Source organism: Homo sapiens, chromosome 4, assembly GCF_000001405.40.
Source record: "Homo sapiens chromosome 4, GRCh38.p14 Primary Assembly".
NCBI classification, from domain to species: domain Eukaryota; kingdom Metazoa; phylum Chordata; class Mammalia; order Primates; family Hominidae; genus Homo; species Homo sapiens.
Genome location: NC_000004.12, coordinates 52789693 through 52815464, shown reverse-complemented (window position 1 = coordinate 52815464; position 25772 = coordinate 52789693). Strand labels below are relative to the sequence as shown.

At 41.8% G+C, this 25772-nt stretch overlaps 1 long non-coding RNA gene across 1 annotated transcript; it reads right to left on the bottom strand.

Moving 5' to 3' along the window:
* Nucleotides 1–25471, bottom strand: LINC01618 (long intergenic non-protein coding RNA 1618). The gene is made up of 5 exons (NR_040106.1): nt 25424–25471; nt 24374–24500; nt 23271–23416; nt 15793–15886; nt 1–312 (listed from the first exon to the last, which is right to left on the bottom strand). It is a non-coding gene; the product is annotated as a long intergenic non-protein coding RNA 1618 (long non-coding RNA).
* Nucleotides 25472–25772: the final 301 nt, after the last annotated feature.

The window sequence follows — 25772 nt, the reverse complement described above, 5'->3', positions numbered from 1 at the left end:
AGTTTTTAATTCTATTTTATTGATTTTTGGATAGATAGCAAATTGCCGTAATACAAAGCTAAAATCAAAACAGAAAATTGGTTTAGATCATTGTATTAGTCAGGGTTCCCCAGAGAAACAGATCATATACATATATATATAAATAAGTCACAGGGGGTGATTGATTTTAAGGAAATGGTTCACATGATTATGGAGGCGGGGCCCACAAGCTGGAAAGCCAGGAAGAGCCGGTATTGCAGTTCAAGTCTGATAGCTGCCTGCCACAGAATTCCCTCTACTGCAAAGATTGATAAGCAGCAAGTCTTGTCCCCACTGTGACAAAAAAAGAGGGAAAAGGATTAATTTACAGCGGGAAGAATTGAATTTAGCTGCATGGGAAAACTAAGTGCAGTTGACCCCTGAACAACACAGATTTGAACTATGTACGTCCACATATACATAGGTTTTTTTTCAACCAAACATGGACCAAAAATATAGTACTGGCAAGACATGAAAGCTGTGTATATGGAGGGCTGCCTTTTGGCACTCATGGGTTCCACAGCACTGACTGAAGGACTTGAGTATATGCAGATTTTGGTATATGCAGTGGTCCTAAAACCAATCCCCCATGTATACTGAAGGGACGATTGTACCAGTAAGAGAATGTTCAATACCCAGAGAGATGCTGTATTAGCTAGGATGCTTTCAGCTGTGAGTAAAAAAAAAAAAAAAAAAAAAAAAATTAATGCTGGTTTAAACTATACGGACATTCGTCAATTAGTTAACAGGTAGTCAACAGACGGGAAGTCTCAGCGTTGGTTCAGCAACCAATGATGATATCAAGAAGCCAAGTGCTTTTCAATCTCTGTTTCTTTCCTCCTTTTTATTTTTGAGTAGATTGTTTTCTTTAGTTTTTTAAACTGTAAACCCATTACCTTATGGTTGCAAAATGGCTAAAGAGCTCCAAACATCACAATCTTACGTGTCCACAACCAAAGGCAGGGCGCAGAAGGAGCAAAACAAGAGAGAGCTCTTCTTCCTTCCTTCTTTCCTTCCCAACAAGGAAAACTCTTGGTCAGAAGCCTCTCAGCAGACTTACCTTCGTATCTATTGGCATCTTGTTGGTATTTGATTGCATGGCTGCCTCTAGCACCAAAGGAGACTGGGAAGATGAGCACCTGGTTCTTTCAGGCTCTTTGGGAAGAAAGACAAAGTCTGGGAGTGGCTGCTGTGCAACCCACAAACAGTGGTTGCCATGCTGCCACGGTTATGAAAAAGAGTTTTGGTATATCTTTCCTCATTATTAAAATAATTTTTGCTAATTCTAGAAAAATTGAAAAATACAGGAAGTTACCTATAACTACAAGACCCAAAGAAATCCACTGACATTTTGGTGTCTGAGGACATCAAAATCTTCTTTATTGGGTACATGAAGCCAAGTGGAGACAGAGGAAAGAGGATCTAACCCAGGCGTTGAAGGTCTTGTAGACTTGTGAGTCAAAGTAAAAGGCCCTTCCTTGACTTTAACACTCTTCTCAGGAACATAGAGAGAGGATTGAGATTGAATTTATCTGTTACACATTGTGGCAAGACAAACCACCCCAAAACTTAGTGGCTTAAACAACAACCATTTCTTATTGTTCACGACTGTGTGGGTCAGGAGGTTGTGCCAGGCTCAGCATAAAGACTGTTTTACATGGTGTTTGCTGGTTCACTCACACAGCTGTGTCCAGCTGGCATTTCATTAGGCTGGAGATCCAAGACAGCCTCACTCATCTATCTCGGGCTGCGGTGCTGGCTTTCAACTGAGACGCCTCAGTTTTTCTTCCCTTGACCTCTCTGGATTCATTTTGTCTCATCTTCCAGGGCCTTCCTTTTCAGATGTTTTTCCCTCCAGCAGAAGAGCCTTGAGTTCTTTACATGATGGCTGCTTTTCCTAAGTGAAAACAGAAACTAAAAGCTTCTTGGCTGGGTGTGGTGGCTCATGCTTATAATCCCAGCACTTTGGGAGGCCAAGGTGGGCAGATCACTTGAGGTCAGGAGTTCGAGACCAGCCTGGACAATATGGTGAAACCCCATCTCTACTAAAAATACAAAAATTAGCTGGGCATGATGGAAGGCACCTGCGATCCCGGCTACTTGGGAGACTGAGGCACAAGAATCACATGAACCTGGGAGGAGGTTGTTGTAGTGAGCCAAGATCGCGCCACTGCACTCCAGCCTGGGCAACAGAGCGAGACTCTGTCTCAAACAAAAAACAAAAAACAAACAAACAAAAAAACTAACTAAAAGCTTCTTGAGGCCAGGCCTTGACAGTCCAAGAACATCATTTCCACCCCGTTTTAATCAGCTGATGCAAGTCACAAAGGGCAGCCCAGATTTAAGGGGAAAGGAATAGGCCCTTCCTCTTGATGGAGGAGAGGCTAAGGGCATGCTGGATGGGAGAGACTGTTGTAAGCATCTCTGAAACCATCTACCACATATGGCAATAGGTCTGCCCAGGATTAGAGAAGTTAAAACACGTGGACACACACACAAACACGTCCTTATAGCAAATCCACTAAAATTCTAAACTGAAAACTGTTTCACCTTTGGCAGCTATCTGAATGCATCAGCAGTGACATTCTGTATTTCAAATGACAGCTTTCAAATTTGTTAAGGAATCTGTCAATCATTCATGAGAGTATAATAGTTAATAGCACTAACCCCAGAGCTAGAATGCCTGGATTTAATTCCAGCTCCATTACATTTAGCCCTTTGACATGGGACAAGTTATTTACCTTTGTCCTGTTTGTAAACTGGGAGTGGTGAGGATTAAATGAGTGGATATATAAGAAATACTCAGAGCAGTGCCTGGCACAGAGCAAACACAATGTATATGTTTATATTGTTATATCCATTCACAGCAATAGTAGGGTTTCTTTTCTGTGATGTTACCAAATCTGTGTTTTACAGAGTAGCAGGTATATTTTCTCACTTTGGATTTTATTTATTTATTTATTTATTTTGAGACATAGTCTTGCTCTGTTGCCCAGGCTAGAATCCAGTGGTGCAATCTCGGCTCACTGCAACCTCCACCTCCTGCACTCAAGCAATTCCTCCCACTTCAGTCTCCTGAGTAGCTGGGTCTAGAGGTGTGTGCAACCACACCCAGCTAATTTTTGTATTTTTTGTAGTGATGGGGTTTCACCATGTTGCCCAGGCAGGTCTCAAACTCCTGAGCTCAAGCGATCCACTCGCCTCAACCTCCCAAAGTGCTGGGATTACAGGTGTGAGCCACCATGTCTGGCCTTAACCTGGAGTTTAAACAACAAATAATCAATGTCTCCTCTTGCTAGACCCCTCAGGAGCATCCAACACAGTCTACCGTTCTCTCTTTTTTGTTGACTCCTGCTCTTCTTTTGGCCTTCATAGGCTGCACTCTCCTGGTTTTCCTCCTGCAGCTCTGACTCATTCTCCAGTTTCTTGCTGCTCCTCCTCCTATACCCAGTCTCCAGATATTGGAGGTGCTGGGCCCTCTTCTCTCCTCATTTTAAACTTTCTTCTAGATGCGTGTATCCATTCCCACATATCAATATCATCTAATATGCTAAAAATCCTAAATGTGTGTCTTAGCTAGAACTCTCTGCTGAGCTCCCAAATCCTGTAACAACTGCCTCATGGACATCTCTACTTGGACATCACACGGATATCACAAACTTCACATCTGTCAACTGAGCTTCTTCTACCAACCCCCACACCTTAGCACCTCTCCCTCCCCCAGTCTTCCCCATCTCAATAAACTTCCATATGCTCTGCAGCTAAGGCCAGAAACATGGGGGTCATTCTTATTCCTAACTCCTCCCTCCAACTCCTTCACCAGTCCTGCGAAATCTGTTAGACCAAATCATATGAAATTTTCATCTTTGTAGAAAAAAAAAAAGCCAGCTGGGCATGGTGGCTCATACCTCTAATCCCAGCACTTTGGGAGGCTGAGGTGGGTCAGGAGTTCGAGACCAGCCTGGCCAACATGGCAAAACCCCTTCTCTACTAAAAATACAAAAATTAGCTGGGTGTGGTGTCACGCGCCTGTACTTCCAGCTATTAGGGAGGTTGAGGCAGGAGAATCGCTTGAACCAGGGAGGTGGAGGTTGCAGTGAGCCAAGATAGAGCCACTACACTCCAGCCTGGGTGACAGAGAGAGACTCCATCTCAAAAAAAAAAAAAAAAAAAAAAGGCCAAATATGGACAATTTACAGTGTTCAAACTAACACTTTATTTTTCCTTTTTTTGAGACAGAATCTCACTCTGTTACCCAGGCTGGAGAGCAATGGTACGATCTCGGCTTACTGCAACCTCTGCCTCCCTGGTTCAAGTGATCCTCCTGCCTCAGCCTCCCAAGTAGCTGCGTAGCTGGGATTACAGGTGCCTGCCACCACATCCAGCTAATTTTTTTTTTTTTTTTTTTTGAGACGGAGTCTTGCTCTTTCACCCAGGCTGGAGTGCAGTGGCTCTATCTCGGCTCACTGCAAGCTCTGCCTCCCAGGTTCATGCCATTCTCCTGCCTCAGCCTCCTGAGTAGCTGGGACTACAGGTGCCCGCCACCGCACCCAGCTAATTTTTTGTATTTTTAGCAGAGACGGGTTTTCACCGTGTTAGCCAGGATGGTCTCGATCTCCTGACCTCGTGATCTGCCTGCCTCGGCCTCCCAAAGTGCTGGGATTACAGGCATGAGCCACTGCGCCCGGCCCCACCTAATTTTTTTTTATATGTTTAGTAGAGACGAGGTTTCATCATGTTGGCCAGGCTTGTCTCTAACTCTTGGTCTCACGTGATCTGCCCACCTCAGCCTCCCAAAGTGCTGGTATTACAGGTGTGAGCCACTGCGCCCCATCCTCAAACTAATGCTTTCAAAACACCTCTCAAATCTGTTCACTTTTCTCATCTTCACTGACATGTCACCAATAAGTCCACCATAGACCTCTGTCAAGACTTTCCAACCACTTACCTTACTTTCTCACAAGGCCAGTTTTCATACATTGACAATGCAAATTTTTGACAGCTTGCATTGAATCATGTCACTCCCTTGCATAAAAGCCCTTGGGTGTCTTCTTCGGCCCCATCTCATGCCACCCCTCCCCATCCACACAGGCAATTCGTCTCTTATATTTCCATTTCTCATATTCCCTCAGCACTTTTCCAGCTGAGGTCTGATGTGTAGCCCACCCCTGCCTGGAGCCCTCTCCCCATCAGTCTTTCTCTGGCTTGTTCCTGCTCAACTGCTCTGACCCCTCCTCAGGAACACCTTCCTTGATCCCCATCCCAACTTAAAGCAGGCCTCCCTTTTGGTCTTTCCTAGGATGATAATCTATTATTTCCTCTTTTCTCCCCTTTCCCGTTCCCTTTTTAAAAAGTTTGTATTGTACGTATTTAAGGTATACATGATGCTTTTATATACATACACAAAGTGAAATGATGACTACAGTCAAGCAAACTAACACATCCATCACCTCACCTAGTTACTTTTTTACACTGTTGTTTCTCTCATAGCACTTTTCACAGGTTGTTATTATGTACTTATTAGTATTTGTCTAAAGCCTATTTCCCTTGCTTCAGTGTAATCTCCATGGGTATAGAACAAGATGGGTTCTTTTTTGATTACTGTTGTGTACTTAGAATCTCAGATATAGAAGGGGCTCAGTAAATATTTGGTGAATGAATAAATGAGTTCAAAGGCTGTCAAGACACTGCTATTTCTGGGGATTCGTGTTCCCAGGTAGATCTCCCAGGCCACATTTCTCCATGTGATTCACCAATTCTTTTTTTCCCAGTATGTTTTCTTTCCTTTTTACTCCCGATTGTTCCTCTAAATTAAAGGGGAGATTGCCTTTTTGCTAAATTTTCTTCTTTTTTTTTTTGAGACGGAGTCTCGCTCTGTTGCGCATGCTGGAGTGCAGTGGGGCGATCTCAGCTCTGCCTCCTGGGTTCAAGCAATTCTCCAGCCTCAGCCTCCCAAGTAGCTGGGATTACAGGCACATGCCACCACGCCCAGCTAATTTAATTTTTTCTCTTTAAAATGTAATGGACTGAAAGGATCTAACTTTTTAGATCTATTCCACTGAAGACTAACTTTATAGTTTTAAGTTTTACATTTAGATTTATGATTCTTTTTAACTTTTTTGTAAGCTGTGAGGGTTAGGTTAAAGTTATTTTCTTTTTCTTTCTTTTTTTCTCTCTCCTTTCTTTCCTTTTTTTCTCTCTCTCTTTCTCTGTCTTTCTCTCTCTTTCTTTTCTTTCTTTCTTTCTTTTTCTTCATATAGATGTTCACTTGTCCAAACCACATTTGTTGAAAGGCTATTCTTTCTCCTTTGACTTGCCTTTGTGAAAGATCAGTTAGATATATTTGTGTGGGTCTAATTCTAAACTCTCATTTCTTTTCTATTGAACTATGTGTCTCTCTTTGCTAGTACTCACAATTGTTTCACTGCTTTGATGACTATAGCTTTGGAGTAAGTATTAAAATTGGATAGTATGATTTCTCTAAACTTTTTCTTCTTTGTCGGAATTGTTTTGGTTATCTTACTTTTTTGCCTCCCCATATAAAATTTAGCATCAGCTTCTCTCTATCTTTTTAATAATTGTTACAATTTTGATTGAAATGACATTAAATCTGTACATCAACTGGAGACAACTGACATCTTTACTATGTTGAGTCTTCCAATCCATGAGTATGATATGTCTCTCCATTTATTTAGGTCTTCTTTGATTTATTTTTAATCTGTGTTTTGTAGTGATCATCATACATGTCTTATGATGTTAGATTTATACCTAAGTGTTTTATTTTGGGAGTAACTATTGTCGATGGTATTTTTTTAAAGTTTTGATTTCCAATTGTTCATTGCTAATATAAAGAAATAGAGTTGACTTTTGTGTGTTTATTTTGCATCCTGCAAACTAGCCAAACTCACTTATTAGTTCTTGGATTTTGTTGTTGCTGTTATCAGAATCTTTGAACTTTCTTTTTTTTTTTTTTTTTTGAGACGGAGTCTCGCTCTGTCGCCCAGGCTGGAGTGCAGTGGCGCGATCTCGGCTCACTGCAAGCTCCGCCTCCCGGGTTCACGCCATTCTCCTGCCTCAGCCTCCCGAGTAGCTGGGACTACAGGCGCCCGCTACCACGCCCGGCTAAATTTTTGTATTTTTAGTAGAGACGGGGTTTCACCGTGTTAGCCAGGATGGTCTCGATCTCCTGACCTCGTGATCCGCCAGCCTGGGCCTCCCAAAGTGCTGGGATTACAGGCGTGAGCCACCGCGCCCGGCCGAACTTTCTTTTTTTTAAAAAAAATTTTACTTAAAGTTCTGGGATACATGTGCTTAATGTGCAGGTTTGTTACATAGGCTTACGTGTGCCATGGTGGTTTGCTGAACCTATCAACCCATCATCTAGGTTTTAAGGTCTGCATGCATTAGGTATTTGTCCTAATGCTTGCCCTCCCCTTTACCCCCACACCCAGATAGGCCCCAGTGTGTGATGTTCCCCTCCCTATGTCCATGTGTTCTCATTGTTCAGCTCCCACTTATGAGTAAAAACATGCAGTGTTTGGTTTTCCGTTCCTGTGTTAGTTTGCTGAGGATGATGGTTTCCAGCTTCATCCATGTCCCTGCAAAAGACATGAACTCAACCTTGTTTATGGCTGCATGGTATCATGGTGTATATGTGCCACATTTTCTTTATCCAGTATATCATTGATAGACATTTGGGTTGGTTCCAAGTCTTTGCTATTGTAAATAGTGCTGCAGTAAACATGTGTGTGCATGTGTCTTTATAGTAGAGTGATTTATAACCCTTTGGGTATATACCTAGTAATGGGATTGCTGGGTCAAATGGTATTTCTGGTTCTATATCTTTGAGGAATCACCACACTGTCTTCCACAATGAATGAACTAATATACACTCCCACCAACAATGTAAAAGTCTTCCTATTTCTCTGCATCCTCACCAGCATCTGTTGTTTCCAGACTTCTTAATGATTGCCATTGTAACTGACATGAGATGGTATCTCATTGTGGTTTTGATTTGCATTTCTCTAATGACAACTGATAATGACAAGCTTTTTTTAATATGTTTGTTGGCCACATAAATGTCTTCTTTTGAGAAGTGTCTGTTCATATCCTTTGCCCACTTTTTGATGTGGTTGTTTGTTTTTTTCTTGTAAATTTGTTTAAGTTCTTTGTAGATTCTGGATATTAGCCCTTTGTCAGATGGGTAGATTGTACAAATTTTCTCCCATTCTGTACATTGCCTGTTCACTCTGATGATAGTTGCTTTTGCTGTGCAGAAGCTCTTTAGTTTAATTAGATCCCATTTGTCAATTTTGGCTTTTGTTGCAATTGCTTTTGGTGTTTTAGTCATGAAGTCTTTTCTCATGCCTATGTCCTCAATGGTATTGCCTAGGTTTTCTTTTAGGGTTTTTATAGTTTTAGGTTTTACATTTAAGTGTTTAATTCATCTTGAGTTAATTTTTGTATAAGGTGTAAGGAAGGGATCCAGTTTCAGTTTTCTGCATATGGCTAGCCAGTTCCCAGTGCCGTTTATTAAATAGGGAATCCAGTCCCCATTGCTTGTTTTTGTCAGGTTTGTCGAAGATCAGATGGTTGTAGATGTGTGGTGTTATTTCTGAGGCCTCTGTTCTGTTCCATTGGTCTATATCTCTGTTTTGGTACCAGTACCATGCTGTTTTGGTTACTGTAGCCTTGTAGTATAGTTAGAAGTCAGGCAGCGTGATGCCTCCAGCTTTGTTCTTTTTGCTTAGGATTGACTTGGCTATATGGGCTCTTTTTTGGTTCCATATGAAATTTAAAGTAGTTTTTTCTTATTCTGTGAAGAAAGTCAATAGTAGCTTGATGGGAATAACATTGAATCGATAAATTACTTTAGGCAGTATGGCCATTTTCATCATATTGATTTTTCCTATCCATGAGCATGGAGTGTTTTTCCATTTGTTTGTTTCCTCTCTTATTTCCTTGAGCAGTGGTTTGTAGTTCTCCTTGAAGAGGTACTTCAAGTCCCTTGTAAGTTGTGTTCTTAGGTATTTTATTTCTTTGTAGCAATTATGAATGGGAGTTCTCTCATAATTTGGCTCTCTGCTTGTCTGTTATTGGTGTATAGGAATGCTTGTGATTTTTCCACATTGATTTTGTATCCTGATACTTTGCTGAAGTTGTTTATCAGCTTAAAGAGTTTTGGGTCTGAGAGAATGGGTTTTCTAAATATATAATCATGTCGTCTGCAGAGAGAGGCAACTTGACTTCCTCTCTTCCTATTTGAATACCCTTTATTTCTTTCTCTTGCCTGATTGCTCAAGCCAGAACTTCCAATACTATGTTGAATAGGAGTGGTGAGAGAGGGCATCCTTGTCTTGTGCTGGTTTTCAAAAGGAATGCTTCCAGCTTTTGCCCATTCAGTATGATATTGGCTATGGCTTTGTCATAAACAGCTCTTATTATTTTGACATATGTTCCATCAATACCTAGTTTATTGAGTCTTTTTAGCATGAAGGAGTGTTGAATTTTATTGAAGGCCTTTTCTGCATTTATTGAGATAATCATGTGATTTTTGTCATTAGTTCTGTTTATGTGATGGATTATGTTTATTCATTTGTGTATGTTGAACCAGCCTTGCATCCCGGGGATAAAGCTGTCTTGATCATGGTGGATAAGCTTTTTGATGTGCTGCTGGATTCAGTTTACTAGTATTTTATTGAGGATTTTCACATTGATGTTCATCAGTGATATTGGCCTGAAATTTTCTTTTTTTGTTGTGTCTCTGCCAGGTTTGGGAATCAGGATGATGCTGGCCTCATAAAATGAGTTAGGTAGAATCCCTCTTTTTTTATTGTTGGTAATAGTTTCAGAAGGAATGGTTGCAGCTCCTCTCTGTACCTCTGGAAGAATTCAGCTGTGAATCTGTCTGGTCCTGGGTTTTTTTTTTTTTTTTTTTGGTTGGTAGGCTATTAATTACTGTCTCAATTTCCAAAGTTGTTATTGGTCTATTCAGGCATTCAACTTTTTCCTGGTTTAGTCTTGGAAGGGTGTATGTGCCCAGGAATTTATCCATTTCTTCTAGATTTTCTAGTATATTTGCGTAAAGGTGTTTATAGTATTCTCTGATGGTAGTTTGTATTTCTGTGGAATCAGTGGTGCTTCCTCTTTATCATTTTTTATTGGGTCTATTTGATTCTTCTCTCTTTTCTTCTTTATTAGTCTGGCTAGCTGTCTATCTGTTTTGTTAATCTTTTCAAAAAACCAGCTCCTGGATTTATTGATTTTTTGAAAGGTTTTTCATGTCTCTATCTCTTTCAGTTCTGCTCTGATCTTAGTTATTTCTTGTCTTCTGCTAGGTTTTGAATTAGTTTGCTCTTGCTTCCCTAGATTTTTTAATTGTGATGTTAAGGTGTCAATTTTAGATCTTTCCCACTTTCTGATGTGGGCATTTAATGCTATAAATTTCCTTCTAAACACTGCTTTAGCTGTGTCCCAGAGATTCTGGTATGTTGTGTCTTTGTTCTTATTGGTTTCAAAGAACATCTTTATTTCTGCCTTCATTTCATTATTTTCCCAGTAGTCATTCAGGAGCAGGTTGTTCAGTTTCCATGTAGTTGTGCAGTTTTGAGTGAGTTTCTTAATCCTGAGTTTTAATTTGATTGCACTGTGGTTGGAGAGGCTGTTTGTTATTATTTCCATTCTTTTGCATTTGCTGAGGAGTGTTTTACTTCCAATTATGTAGTTAATTTTTAGAATAAGTGCTATGTGGTGCTGAAAAGAATGTATATTCTGTTGATTTAGGGTGGAGAGTTCTGTAGATATCTATTAGGTCCACTTGGTCCAGTGCTGAGTTCAAGTCCTGAATATCCTTGTTAATTTTCTGTCTTGTTGATCTGTCTAATATTGACAGTGGGGTGTCAAAGTCTCCCACTATTATTGTGTGGGAGTCTAAGTCTCTTTGTAGGTCTCTAGGAACTTGCTTTATGAATCTAGATGCTCCTGTATTGGTTGCATATATATTTAGGATAGTTAGCTCTTCTTGTTGCATTGATCCATTTACCATTATGTAATGCCCTTCTTTGTCTTTTTTGATCTTTGTTGGTTTAAAGTCTGTTTTATCAGAGACTAGGATTGCAACCCCTGCTTTTTTTTTCTTTCCATTTGCTTGGTAAATATTCCTCCATCCCTTTATTTTGAGCTTATGTGTGTCTTTGCACATGAAATGGGTCTCCTGAACACAGCACACCTATGGGTCTTAACTCTTCATCCAATTTGCCAGTCTGTGTCTTTTAAATGGAGCATTTAGCCCATTTACATTTAAGGTTAATATTGCTATGTGTGAATTTGATCCTGTCATCATGATGCTAGCTGGTTATTTTGCACATTAGTTGATGTAGTTTCTTCATAGTGTCGTTGGTCTTTATATTTTGGTGTGTTTTTGCAGTGGCTGGTACCAGTTTTTCTTTTCCATATTTACTGTTTCCTACAGGAACTCTTGTAAGGCAGGCCTGGTGGTGACAAAATCCCTCAGAATTTGCTTGTCTGTAAAGGGTTTTATTTCTCCTTCACTTATGAAACTTGGTTTGGCTGGATATGAAGTTCTGGGTTGAAAATTCTTTAAGAATGTTGAGTATTGGCCCCCACTCTCTTCTGGCTTGTAGGGTTTCTGCAGAGAGATTCACCATTAGTGTGATGGGCTTCCCTTTATAGGTAACCTGACATTTCTCTCTGGCTGCCCTTAACATTTTTTCCTTCGTTTCAACCATGGAGAATCTGACAATTATGTGTCTTGGGGTTGCTCTTCTAGAGCAGTAACTTAGTGGTTTTCTCTGTATATCCCGAATTTTAATGTTGGCCTGTCTTGCTAGGTTGGGGAAGTTCTCCTGGATAATATCCTGAAGTGTGTTTTCCAACTTGGTTCCATTCTCCCCATCACTTTCAGGGACCCCAATCAATCGTAGTGTGGTCTTTTCACATAGTCCCATATTTCTTGGAGGCTTTCTTCGTTCCTTTTCAGTCTGTTTTCTCTAATCTTGTCTTCATGCCTCATTTTAGTAAGTTGATCTACGATCTCTGATATCCTTTCTTTCACTTGATTGATTCAGCTGTTGATACTTGTGTATGTTTCACAAAGTTTTTGTGCTGTGTTTTTCATCTCCATCAGGTCATTTATGTTCTTCTCTAAACTGGTTATTCTAGTTAGCAGTTCATGTAACCTTTTGTCAAGGTTCTTAGCTTCCTTGCATTGCATTAGAAGATGCTCCTTTAGCTCAGAGGAGTTTGTTATTACCCACCTTCTGAAGCCTACTTCTGTCAACTTATCAAACTCATTCTCTCTCCAGTTTTGTGCCCTTGCTGGAGAGGGGTTGTGATCATTTGGAGGAGAAGAGGCATTCTGGTTTTTGGAATTTTCAGTCTTTTTGTGCTGGTTTTTCCTCATCTTTGTGGATTTATCTACCTTTGATCTTTGAGATTGATGAACTTTGGATGGAGTTTCTCTGTGGGGGTTCCTTTTGTTGATGTTTATGTTATTGCTTTCTGTTAATTAGTTTTTCTTCTAGCAGTCAGGCCGCTCTTCCGCAGGTCTGCCGCAGTTTACTGGAGGTCCACCCCAGACTCTTTTTGCCTGTGTATCACCACTGGAGGCTGCAGAACAGCAAAGATTGCTGCCTACTCCTTCCTCTGGAAGCTTCATCCCGCAAGGGGCACTGGCCTGATGCCAACTAGACATCTCCTGTATGAGGTGTCTGTCAACTCCTGTTGGGAGGTCTCTCCCAGTCAGGAGGAACGGAGGTCAAGGACCCACCTGAGGAGGCAGTCTATCCCTTAGCAGAGCTTGAGCATTGTGCTGGGAGAACCCTCCTTGTCAGGATTTACTGCTTTCTTCAGAGCTGGCAGGCAGGTATGTTTAAGTCCACTGAAGCTATGCCCACAGCTTCTCCTTCCCCCACGTGCTCTGTCCCAGTGAGGCGGGAGTTATATCTATAAGTTTTATCTATAAGCCCCCTGACTGGGGCTGCTGCCTTTCTTTCAGAGATGCCCTGCCCAGTGAAGAGGGATCTAGAACAGCAGTCTAGCCACAGCCACTTTGCCACGCTGTGTTGAATTCTGCCTAGTCTGAACTTCCAAGCGTTTTGAGCATGGTCAAGGGAAAACCACCTACTCAAGCCTCAGTAATGGTAGAGGCCCCTCCCCCGACCAAGCTTGATCGTCCCAGGTTGGCTTCAGACTGCTGTGCTGGCAGTGAGAATTTCAAGCCCGTGGTTTTTAGCTTGCTGGGCTCTGTGGGAGCGGGACCTGCTGAGTGAGACCACTTGGTTCCCTAGCTTCAGCCCCCTTTCTAGGGGAGTGAACAGTTCTGTTTTGCTGGGGTTCCAGGCACCACTGGGGTTAAAAAAATAAAAATAAGAAAAAAAAATAACCTCCTGCAGCTAGCTCGATGTTTGCCCAAACAGCTGCCCAGTTTGGTGCTTGAAACCCAGGGCCCTGGTGGTAAAGGCACACAAGGGAATCTCCTGGTCTGTGGATTGCAAAAAATGTGGGAGAAGCATAGTATCTGGGCCGGATAGCACAGTTCCTCATGGCCTCCCTTGGCTGGGAAAGGGAGGCTCTCCCACTCCTTGCACTTCCCAGGTGAGGTGACACCCCACCCTGCTTCTGCTTGCCCTCTGTGGGGTGCACCCACTGCCTAACCAGTCCCATTGAGATGAACAGTGTACCTCAGTTGGAAATGCAGAAATCACCCGCCTTCTGCATTCATCTCACTGGCAGCTGCAGACTGAATCTGTTCCTATTTGGCCATCTTGCCAGCAACCCACAGATTCCTTGAACTTTCTATGTAAACAGTCAGGTCATCTGCAAACAGTTTTTTTTTTCCTTTCCAATCTATATGCCTATTTTTTTTCTTACCTTGTTGCACTGGCTAGAAACTTTCAATATGATGATGGACAAGAACATTGAGAATGGAAAACCTTATCTTGTTCCCAATCCTGAAGGGAAAGTGTTCTGTCTTTCACCATTAAGTACATTAAGTATGATGCCAGTTATAGGTTTTTGTAGATATCGTTTATCAGAGTGAGGAAGTTTCCTTCTCTTTCTAGTTTGCTGAGTGTTTATAATTAAAACTAGTAAAATTAGATATCGAAATTTGGATTGGTTTCTATTCCTAGTTTTCTGAATGTTTTTATGAGTGGATGTTGAATTTTGTCAAGTGCTTTTTTTACATCAATTGATATGATCATGTGGTTTTTCTTCTTTAGACTGTTAGTACAATGTAACACATGGTTTGATTTTTGAATATTAAACTAGTATTCTCAAACAGCTGTTTTATTATTATTTTTTATAAATTGCTGGATTAAGTTAACCAATATTTTGTTAAAAATTTTCATGTCTATATTCATGAATAGAATTGATCTATAATTTTCTTTTCTCAAACTGTCTGCTATTTCTGGTTTGGAATCAAGGTATTGATGGCTTCATAAGTTATTTGCAGTGTTCCCACCAAGTTTATCTTTAGATGTAATGAATTTTTCCAAATAGTTCTTTATAAGCCCCAAGTGGCACTTGTTCTTTAACACCAGGGTACAATATAGTACATTCTAGTCCACTTCCCATATGGAGTATTCTAGCTCACTCAACAATAAGTTACTATATGTAATGTACATGAAACATAAATTCATCAATTAGTTAAAAAGTATTCACCACCTATGATGTAGTTAGGCATTACCCTAGGAGCTGTCAGGGATTCAAGAGAAATAAAACTCTGATTCTATCTACAAAGAATTTGCCATCCTCCAAATAATTACAATAAAATTAAATGTACTAGTCCAGAAAGTATCCAACACTGAACAGACTCTGCTTCAGAATCCTACAGGATCTCAGGTTCATGACCACAATATTGATTAGCATTGAACTTTATGGCTCAAGTGCTGTATCTCTTCCCACGTCCTCCCTTGATGCTCTTTCTCAAGCACCAAGAGCTTATTTAATGCTCCCAAGAAGCCTGACAGGTATGTAATTCGGGTCTTTACTATCATTTTCATTTTATCTTTATTTTTTCCTGCTTACAAAAATATTAAAGTTTTTTTATTTTAATTAACAATATATAAAAGTAGAAAATGGAAATGTCCCATTATTTTACCCCCAAAGGTAAGAGATTGACATGTATATTACTCTGATTTGTTGTGTGGTCCTTAAATAAGATGATTTTTTTAACTCTTTACTGTAGCGTGAAATCTAAAACCAGGTATAGCAGGTTGATACAGCAACCCCACAAGTGTCATTTAAATTATAGCTATAGACACAGATTTTTTTATAAAAGTCTATACACATATGATATGGTTTGGATCTGTGTCTCCACCAAATCTCATGTCCAAATGTAATCCCCAGTGTTGGAGGTGGGGCCTTGTGGGAGGTGATTGGATCATGGGGCGGTCCTTCAGGAATGGTTTAGCACCACCTCCTGGTGCTGTTCTCATGATAGTGAGTGAGTTCTGTTAAGATCTGGTTATTTAAAAGCATGCAGCACCTCTGCCCTCTCTCTCTCTTCCTCCTGCGCTGGCCATGTAAGACATGCCTGCTTCCCCTTTGCCTTCTGCTATGTTTGTAAGTTTCCTGAGGCCTCCTCAGAAGCCAAGTAGATACCAGCATTGTGCTGCCTGTACAGCCTGCAGAACTGTGAGCCAATTAAACCTCTTTTCTTTATAACTTACCCAGTCTCTTTTTATAGCAGTATAAGAACAGATACATAATACAACATACATATGTAGTTGTAAAGTATGTTTCAATACCCACATTTTGCAGATGAGGAGATGGTCTCAGAAGATTCATAGACATGCTTAAGCCAAGAAGTGAGGAGCTCAGATTCAAATTCAAGACTGCTTAAAGCCTGAAAAGCAAATATAATAATCCCTCAGGATCTGAAGGGGATTGGTTCCAGGACCCTCAAAGATATCAAAATCTGCAGATGCTCAAGTTCCTTATATAAAATGGCATAGTATTTGCATATAACACATGCACATCTTCCTGTATACTTTAAATCATCTCTAGATTACTTGTAATACTTAATACAATGTAAAACTATGTAAATAGTTGTTACACTATATTTTTTTGTATTATTTGTATTGTTTTATTGTTATTTTCTATTTTTTTCCCCAGAGATTTTGTATCTGCATTTGATTGGATCTCCAGATGCTGAATTCAAGGACACAGAAGGCAGACTGTACTTAATTGAGTAAAGCTCTGGACAGAAGGTGCAGCCTTCTCCTCTCCAGTAGCACAGGATTGCTGACTCCAACCTTAGGGTATGGAGGGAAAGGAAGGCATTTCCTAGGCCACGGTGACTTCATGCTGCTTCTCTCCACAATTTTTCCCAGTGTTTTGCTATCATAGGCACCATGAGTTACTCTGCTGTATTTTCTTCACTCCCATATCCTCTGTGACTACAACAGTGCTGGCACATAGTAGGTGGTCATGTTTATTTTCTATGGCTGTGCTACCAAATTACCGTAAGCTAAATGGCTTAAAACAACACAAATGTATCATCTTACAGTTCTGTAAGGCAGAAGTCCCACATGATCTCACCGGGCTAATATCAGAGTGTCAGCAGGACTGGTTTCCTTTGGAGGCTCTAGGGGAGAATCCATTTTCTTGCCTCTTAGCTCATGTCCATCCTCCATCTTCAAAGTCAGCAACTGATCAGGGCAGGGGGGTCAAGTCCTTCTCACAATGCATTGCTCTGACCCTTCTTCTACAGTTACAACTCCCTCTGACCACAGTCAGGAAGGTTTCTCACTTTTAAGGACTTGCTTTTAAAGACTGGGCCTGCTGGGATACTCCCAGATATCCATTTCAAGGTTCTTAACATAATCACACCTGCAAAGTCCCTTTTGTCATGTAAAATAGAATATTCACAGGTTCCAGGATTAAAATATGAACATTTTGAGGGGGCAATTATCCTTCCTGCCACAGTGTTCAACAAATAATTCTGAATAAATGAATGAATCAACAGAGTGCGGTGGTTATGAACACAGAGCCAGCCACTTTGGCTCAGAGCTTGGATCCACCATTTACTAGTTGCATGACACGCAGGTCAATTGACCTCTCAGATTCTTCATCTAAAAAATGGGGAACATCCTGATGGGCCCTCATAGGATTGTGGAGAAGATGAGATGAGTTGATATGTATGATGTATAAAGCTCTTGAAAAGTGTTTGCTCTGTTACGATGATTTGAAGCTGCAGGTGTATTCATGTTATTCTCAGTATTGCCCAGGTCATTGCATTTTTATTGCACTTCTTGCAAGGTTATGTGATGGAGTAGAAAGAGTGTGGGCTTTGGGGCAAAGAGACTGGCTCTGGGTCCCAACTCAAACACTCACTAGTTATACAACCGTGTTAAATAATACAGTTTCCTGTCTGTGAAGTAAAGGGGAGGAAATCTTCCTTACGTGGCCCTTGTGAGGAATAGCTGAGATGGTGTAGGTGAAGAAGTAACTATGTACAGTATTAGACATACAATAGGTGCTCAGTAATGGTGCTTTTATGATGAATTCTACATGCACTGTTGCACCCAGGGTTTTTTTTTTTTTTTGAGACGGAGTCTCGCTCTGTCGCCCAGGCTAGAGTGCAGTGGCGAGATCTCGGCTCACTGCAAGCTCCGCCTCCCAGATTCATGCCATTCTCCTGCCTCAGCCTCCCGAGTAGCTGGGACTACAGGTGCCTGCTACCACCCCCGGCTAATTTTTTGTATTTTTAGTAGAGACGGGGTTTCACCGTGTTAGCCAGGATGGTCTGGATCTCCTGACCTCGTGACCCACCCGCCTCAGCCTCCCAAAGTGCTGGGATTACAGGCCTGAGCCACCGCGCCTGGCCGCACCCAAGGTTTTACAACACCCTGAGAGGCCCTGCATGCTCTGGCCTCCTCACTTCCCTCATCCCTCTGTCACTCCTCTGTCTGTATCTCCTCCTGTCTTTCTTATTTTCTGTAGCACTTGCCACCTGCTAATATACTAGATTATTTGCTTATGTATAAGATTTATTGTTATTCTTCCTTTCCACTAGAAGAGGGTAAAGAGCATCAGGAGGAGTGTGTGTGTGTGTGTGTAAGAATTTAGTGGGCATCTATTATGTGCCAAGCATTGTTCTAGGTCTAGATTCCTGTGTTATATCAATGCACAAAACAGAAATTCCTACCCTGGTGTGATGTAAGAAAAGAATCTAGATCTAGAATATGCTTGGGACATAATAGATGCTCACTAAATTCTTACTAAATGAATGAATGAATGAATGAATGCCATGTGTTATGTGGAGCCAGTGGCCCAAACAGCTCCTGACATAAAGCAGGAGTCAGTAAGTGTCAGTTGAATCAAATGACATTAAATAGTTGTGAACCTACCCTTAGGAGACCCCTGGGAGTACCTAACTGGGGAGGTGGAGTTGTTCCCTTCCCAAACTAATTTTTCTGGTTTTATTTTATTTTTTCCTCATCAGATTTCCAAATCCTGAGCTGCCTGCTTTAGAAGCAATGATTCTTTGCTGGTGATTCAGTATTAAATGGTTCCTGAGCTGGCTGCACTGAAAGCTGCTCTCCACAAATTAGACAAGGTTACACTCCCACAGAATATATACTGGTCTCTTAATAGGGTGTAATTAATCACACACCAATGAGCAGAATCACCAAAAATTGTTGCCAAAGAGCAACTTAATGCTGGATAATTATAAATCAGAGTGTTTGATGAATCCAAGATGCTGCTAGATGGGACACTAAGGGACCAAGCTGAGGAAACTAAATATTCCATGGAAAAATAAAGATGAGAGAGTCCTCTGCACCTGGCTTCCAGACAGTTGCCACCCCCTTGCCACACCCTACCCAAGGCTCACTCTCATTTGCCCTTTATAAGCTACTTTAGGATGGCATATTTCTTTATTTCCTGAAATAATGGCCTTGAAGACTGAAAAAAAATGATTAGCTGGTGAGAATGTAATTTTTCATGATATTTACTTAATTTTAATTTTTATTTTTAATTAACAAACAATTTTATACATTTATGGGATACAATGTGATGTTATATGTACATACACATTGCAGCATGATTAAGTCAAGCATATCAACATATCCATCACCTCAAATACTTATCATTTCTTTGTAGTCAGAACATTAAAAATCTACTCTTCTAGCAATTTTGAAATATATAATTCATTATTAACTACAGTCATCATGTTGTACAATAGATCACTAGAACTTATTCCTCCTGTTTAACCATCATTTTACTCTCTGCTTCTGTGAGTTTCAGACTTTCTTTAGAGCCCACATGTGAGATCAGGCACTATGTATCTTTCTGTACCTGGCTTATTTCACTTAGCATAATGTCCTCTAGGTTCACCTATATTGTCAAAAATGACAAAATTTCTTCCTTTCTTTTTTCTGTTTCGTTTTGTTTCAGAGATGGGCTTTCACTATGTTGCCCAGGCTGGACTTGAACTTATAAACTCAAGGCATTGTCCTGCTTCAGCCTCTGCTAGAATAGCTGGGACTATAGGTGCACACCACCATGCCCAGCTGAATCTGTTTTTCTCTTTCTCTTCTATTCTCTCCTCTCCTCTCCTCTTCTTTCTTTCTTTTTCTTTCTTTCTTTCTTTCCTTTCTTTCTTTCTTTTCTTTTCTTTCTTCTTTCTTTTTTTGTCTTTCTTTCTTTTCTTTCTCTTTCTTTCTTTCTTTCTTTCTCCCTTCCTTCCTTCCTTCTCCTGCTTCAGCTTCTCCTAGAGTAGCTGGGACTATAGGTGCATGCCACCACATCCAGCTGACTCTTTCCTTCTTTCTTTCTTTCTTTCTTTCTTTCTTTCTTTTTCTCTCTCTCTCTCTCTTTCTTTCTCTCTCTTTCTTCCTTCCTTCCTTCCTTTTTTCTTTCTTTCTTCACTTTCTTTCTTTTCCCTCCCTTCCTTCCTTCTTCTTCTTCTTCCTTCCTTCCTTCCTTCCTTCCTTCCTTCCTTCCTTCCTTCCTTCCTTCCTTCCTTCCTTCTTGTCTTGCTCTGAGGCCCAGGCTGGAATGCAGTGGCATGATCATGACTCACTGTAACCTTGAGCTTCTGGGCTCAAGTGATCTTTCTGCTTCAGCCTCCCAAGTAGCTAGGACTACAGATGCATACCACCATACCTGGCTAAATTAAAAACAAATTTTTTTTCAAGAAACAGTGTCTCACTCTGTTGCCAAGGCTGGTCTCGAACTCCTGGCCTCAAGTGATCCTCCCACCTCAGCCTGTCAAAATGCTGGGATTACAGGTGTGAGCCACCATGACTAGCCTCCTTCTTTTTTAAGGCTGAATAGTGTGTGTATATATACATCACATTTTATTTATTCATCCATCCATGGACATCGGGTTGATTTTGTATCTTGGCAATTTTGAAGAATGCTGCAGTGAACGTGGGAGTATAAAGATCTCTTGGACATACAGATTTCATTTTCTTTGGATATATACCCAGTAGTGAGATTGCCGAATCATATGGTAGTTCTTGCTTTAATCTTTTGGAGGAAGAGAATGTAATTTTGGAGGCTGGGTTTCTATTTGGTTGTTTTGTCTTGTTACAATTTTGGTGTGGTTGTTTTGGCCTTCTGCAAAGTTCACAGCACAAGTGAAATTGTTAAATAAAAGTTTATTGGCCAGGTGTGTTGCTCACACCTGTAACCCCAGCACTTTGGGAGGCCAAGGCAGGTCAATCACTTGAGGTCAGGAGTTTGAGACCAGCCTGCGCAACATGGTGAAACCTTATCTCTACTAAAAATACAAAAATTAGCCGGGTATGGTGGCACACATCTGTAATCCCAGCTACCTGGGAGGCTGAGGCAGGAGAATTGCTTGAACCCCAGAGGGGGAGGTTGCGGTGAGCCAAGATCACACCACTGCACTCTAGCCTGGGCAACAGAGTGAGACTCCTTCTCAAAAAATATATATATATTTATTATTTTTGGTAAAACTGTAAGACATACTTTGAAGGTTGTTTAGAAAATACAAATTAACAAAAAGAAGGACATATTTTAAATTGGTTGTAACTCCACTGCCCAGAGACAGTCACAGCCACTGCTCACCTCTCTATCTTTTGCATTCCATGGACTTCCTTGCCTTCTGCCTGTCTCACTCAGCTATGTGTATGATGATTTAAAGATGGCATGTTGGCCGGGCGTGGTGGCTCATGCCTGTAATCCCAGCACTTTGGGAGGCCGAGGCAGGTGGATCACCTGAGGTCTGGAGTTCGAGACCAGCCTGACCAACATGGAGAAACCCTGTCTCTACTAAAAATACAAAATGAGCTGGGCGTGGTGGCACATGCCTGTAATCCCAGCTACTAGGGAGGCTGAGGCAGGAGAATCAGTTGAACCTGGAGGTGGAGGTTGCAGTGAGCCAAGATCGCACCATTGCACTCCAGCCTCAGCAACAAGACCAAAACTACGTCTCAAAAAAAAAAAAAAACCACTAAAAAAATAAAGATGACATATGCCACAATAAGCAAAGAGGCCAGGGACAACCTGCCAACTGCCCTGGTCTTATCTCCCATGATGCACCCTCAGTTCCCAGACCTACTCTTGCAGAAGTTGTCTTCTTCTTGGTCTAGTCTTGCAAGGATTAAATCACAGGCCTCTGGTAAGGATGTTGTGATACAGGACAGACTTCCACCCTGGAAGACATTCTGATCCTCGGTCTGACTAAGAATTACTGTGGGCCTTTTAGCTTCCAGCAATCAAAGAATGAAAAGAACAAAATCTATTAATTGTTCTTTTGATAAGTATTTACCAACTGCCTATTCTGTGCCAGTGTTCACATTATGTATTGCTGCATAACAAACCACCTCAAAACCAAATGGATTTAAACCAAAATGTATTATTACCGCTCACAAAGTTGTGCTTTGGCTGGGATCAGACAGGAGATTCTCATCTAGAGTCTCAAGATCACAATCAGATGGCATCCGGGGCTGCAGTCATCCAAAGGCTCACCCAAGCGGGACACTCAAAATGGCTCCCTCATATGGCTGGTGCCTCAGTGCCTTCTGGACTTTCTTTTTTCATGTAGTGCTTTGCCCCCCAGGCCTCCCCCACTTCACCTGGGCTTCGTGCAGTATGGTGGCTTCAGTGTACCTGCGCTTCTTACTTGACAACTGGCTTCTAAAGGTAGAAACCGAAGCTGCCAGGCCAAAGTGTTATGACAAGTATGGGCCAGTGAAGGGTCACACCAGGAACAGGTGGAGAGTCACTTCTGCCATATTCTGTGAGTGCATCTGTCACAGGACCTACACAGATTCAAGGAGGTGGAGAAATAGACTGTACTCTTGATGGGAGAGTGGCAATTCTCTGCAGCCTGTCATGAGGGATCCACTCCCACGGCCCAAACACCTCCCAGCAGGTCCCATCTCCAACACTGGGGATCAAATTTCAACATGAGATTTGGGGAGGACAGGTATCCAAACTGAGTCAACTGGTCTCATTGTCAAGAGTCCTGAGTTCTATAGTGTTCCCGCAACACACACATTGCTGTTTTCTGTGTGACCCTGACAATTCACTTAACTTCTCTGGGACTTTAATATCTGATTTGTAAAAGGGAGGCTATCTGGCCCTTCTCATAGAAGTGTTACGACAATTAATGAGGTTATAATAATAAAAGGACTTGGCAGAGGGTGAGAGTGAGTATTCATTTTTAAGGAGGATGTTAATTTTGAGAAATACCCAATCTGTGAGCTATTTAAATATCTAGAAGTACCAAGGAACTAAACATGGCTCCATCTTTCCAGTGTTCATCCTGTAACCCAGTGCTATGGTTTGAATGTGGCCTTCAAAACCCATTTTAAATTTAGTTGTCATTGTGATGGTGTTAAAAGGTGGGACCTCTAAAAGGTGATTAGGTCGTGAGGGCTCTGTCCTCATGTATGGATTAATGCCATTATCACCAGAGCCGATTAGTTGTTGTGGGACAGGGCTCCTGAAAAAAGGATGCATTTGGTCCAATTTTCCCTATCTTGTGTACTCATTTGCCCTTCCACCTTCTGCCATGAGCTAATGTAGCACAAAAGCCCTCACCAGATCCCAGCACCTTGATCTTGGACTTCCTAGCCTCTGGAAATATGTGAGAAATAAATTTCTGTTTATTATAAATTACCCAGTCTATTGTATTCTGTTATTGCAACAGAAAATGGACTAAGACATACAGCAACCAGGAGGAAATCATCAAATAGCCAGAAATGGACTGATGTCATCAGCTTCCTCAGAAATACCAAAGTTAAACTGACCTGCTTTTCGAGATAGTGGTCACGAGCCTTCGGTCGACGGCTCACCTTGCTGAGATAAACAACCAGGATGTAGTTTCCAGGAATCTGGAAGGGTTTACATGCCATATAGGGAGAAGCAGGATTTAGGATGAATCACTCTCTGAAACCTGGATTCAAGGCAAAGAAAGGGACAGAACTAGACTCCATTTGCTCTTGCTCAGAAAAGCTCTCTGCCTAATGATATAGTAAGATTAGCTATTGTTAAATGAATCACTACTGAACTGCTACTAGGCAGGCCCTGGGCTAAACTTTTAAAATAATTATCTCATTCAGCACTCAAAAGTCTAAAGAGGTGGGTACCAATCAGAGTTCCATTTTACAGATGAGGAAATTGAGGACTAAGAGCCTACAGTTATTGTGAGCTGATAGAAGGATTCAGCCCTAGGAGGTCTGGGTCCATGGTCCCTGAAAATAAACCACTAATTATCCTGTCTCCAACTACCTAAAGGCTTAAGGTGCCTCAAGACACAGGTCTTGAAGCCCTACTGTGTGCCAGGCCCTAGATTGAGTGCTGGTATTGGAGAGCCAAGAAGGACACTGTTCTCATCCTCAAGGAGGTCACAGGCTAGTGAGAAGAGAGATAGATGAACAGAGTGAATATCCCAGGTAAATGTGCTGCTGGGTATCCGGAGGGATTGCCGCATGAGCAAAGTCCCATCTATCCTGGAGGCCTTGCCAGGAGCAGTCAATGAAGGCTTCCTGAGGAGGCAACCCCTGAGCCAGGTCCGATGTCTGATCCACCGCCACTTTAATACCAATATGAACAGCATATGTGCTTCATATCCACACAGACATTACTGCTGTATAAGTATGACCTTTTGGTCCATCAGTGTGACTGATCCTCCTAATTTGTTTATGAACGTAACTCCGGTCACCATTGGTAAGAATGGCTAGGTGGGCTTTCTTGAACCTCAGCCCATTTATTTTATGGCTTGGGCATTCATCTCAAGTTCTGGCAGATTTGGAAGCAAAAGGCAGCCTCATATAAGAGTCCAGAGGAGGACAAAGGGCAAGTCCACACCTTCCCCTGCCCCCCATGGTGTGAGCAAAGAGCCCTTCCTTCCCTTCACACTCCCTTGACACCGGCCTCTGTTACCACCTTCGTTCTCCCTGCTTAACCCCACACTTGTTGCTTCCGTGGAGAAGCGTCATGTCACATTTGTGTTCTGTTGGAAAACATGAGGCTTGAATCTGAAAAAATTAAAACATGTGTTCCATTTTCAGTTGCTTTTCTGGGAGTCCTCAGGTGGAGGAATCCATGTGCCTTATCCACCCATCTGAACATTCTTTCTTTTTTTCTCCTCATAGAGGTAGGAAAAATGAAAAGCCTGGAATTCCTGCCCTACTGCAAGTAAGATCCAGAAAAGAGCACAGAGAGGATGGTGGGAGCAGCCGGAGGGGCTGGCCTCCTTGCTTCCTGAGCAGCACAGCTTTTTGGATATGCAGATCCCCTTTAAGGTGTGCACTAGAACATAAGGCCTGGCACGGAATTCCACAAAGGGTGAGATTAAGGCACCAGGCTGGATGTGCGGGTCGGGGAAAGGGTTGGCTTCGAGGACATATTTGATATATGATGGTGAAAACTGCATTTGTCCATACCAGAGATATGGATGGCTGGATGAAGGCCTAGGAGCTAAAGCTCTCTCTTAAGATTGGGAGAAATAAAAGAAGACTAGAGAGAAAGAAAGAACAAATGGGTGGGGTGCAGTGGCTATGCCTATAATCCCAGCACTTCGGAAGGCAGATTGCTTGAGACATGCAGATTGCTTGAATCCAGGAGTTTGAGACCAGCCTGGGCAGCATGGTGAAACCCAGTCTCTACAAAAAATAAAGTAACTAGCTGGGTGTGGTGCACCCTTGTGGTCCCAGCTGCTCAGGAGGCTGTGGCAGGAGGATCACCTGAGCCTGGGAGGTCGAGGCTACAGTGAGCTGTGATCACGCCATTGCACTCCAGCCTGGTTGACAGAGTGAGACCCTGTCTCAAAAATAAATAAATAAATAATGAATGAACAGACAGAGCAAGAGAGAGAGGGAGGACACATAAGAACCAGGGTTTCTAAAATCCGCTTCTGTCAGAAATTCCTGCCCGTACTTAGTAAAGGTCTAACACCTACATTTCATTAAAAATTAAACATTTGTTATTAGGAGTAGAACTCTGATGTGCTTTTGATGATGTCATAAGTAAAAGAATCTGAGTTTTGGTCTGGGCGCAGTGGCTCATGCCTGTAATCTCAGCACTTTGGGAAGCCAAGGCGAGCAGATCACGAGGTCAAGAGATCAAGACCATCCTGGCCAACATGGTGAAACCTGGTCTCTACTAAAAATACAAAAATTAACTGGGCATGGTGTCACGCACCTGTAGTCCCAGCTATTTGGGAGGCTGAGGCAGGACAATGGCTTGAACCCTGGAGGTGGAAGTTGCAGTGAGCCAAGATTGTGCCACTGCACTCCAGCCTGGCGGCA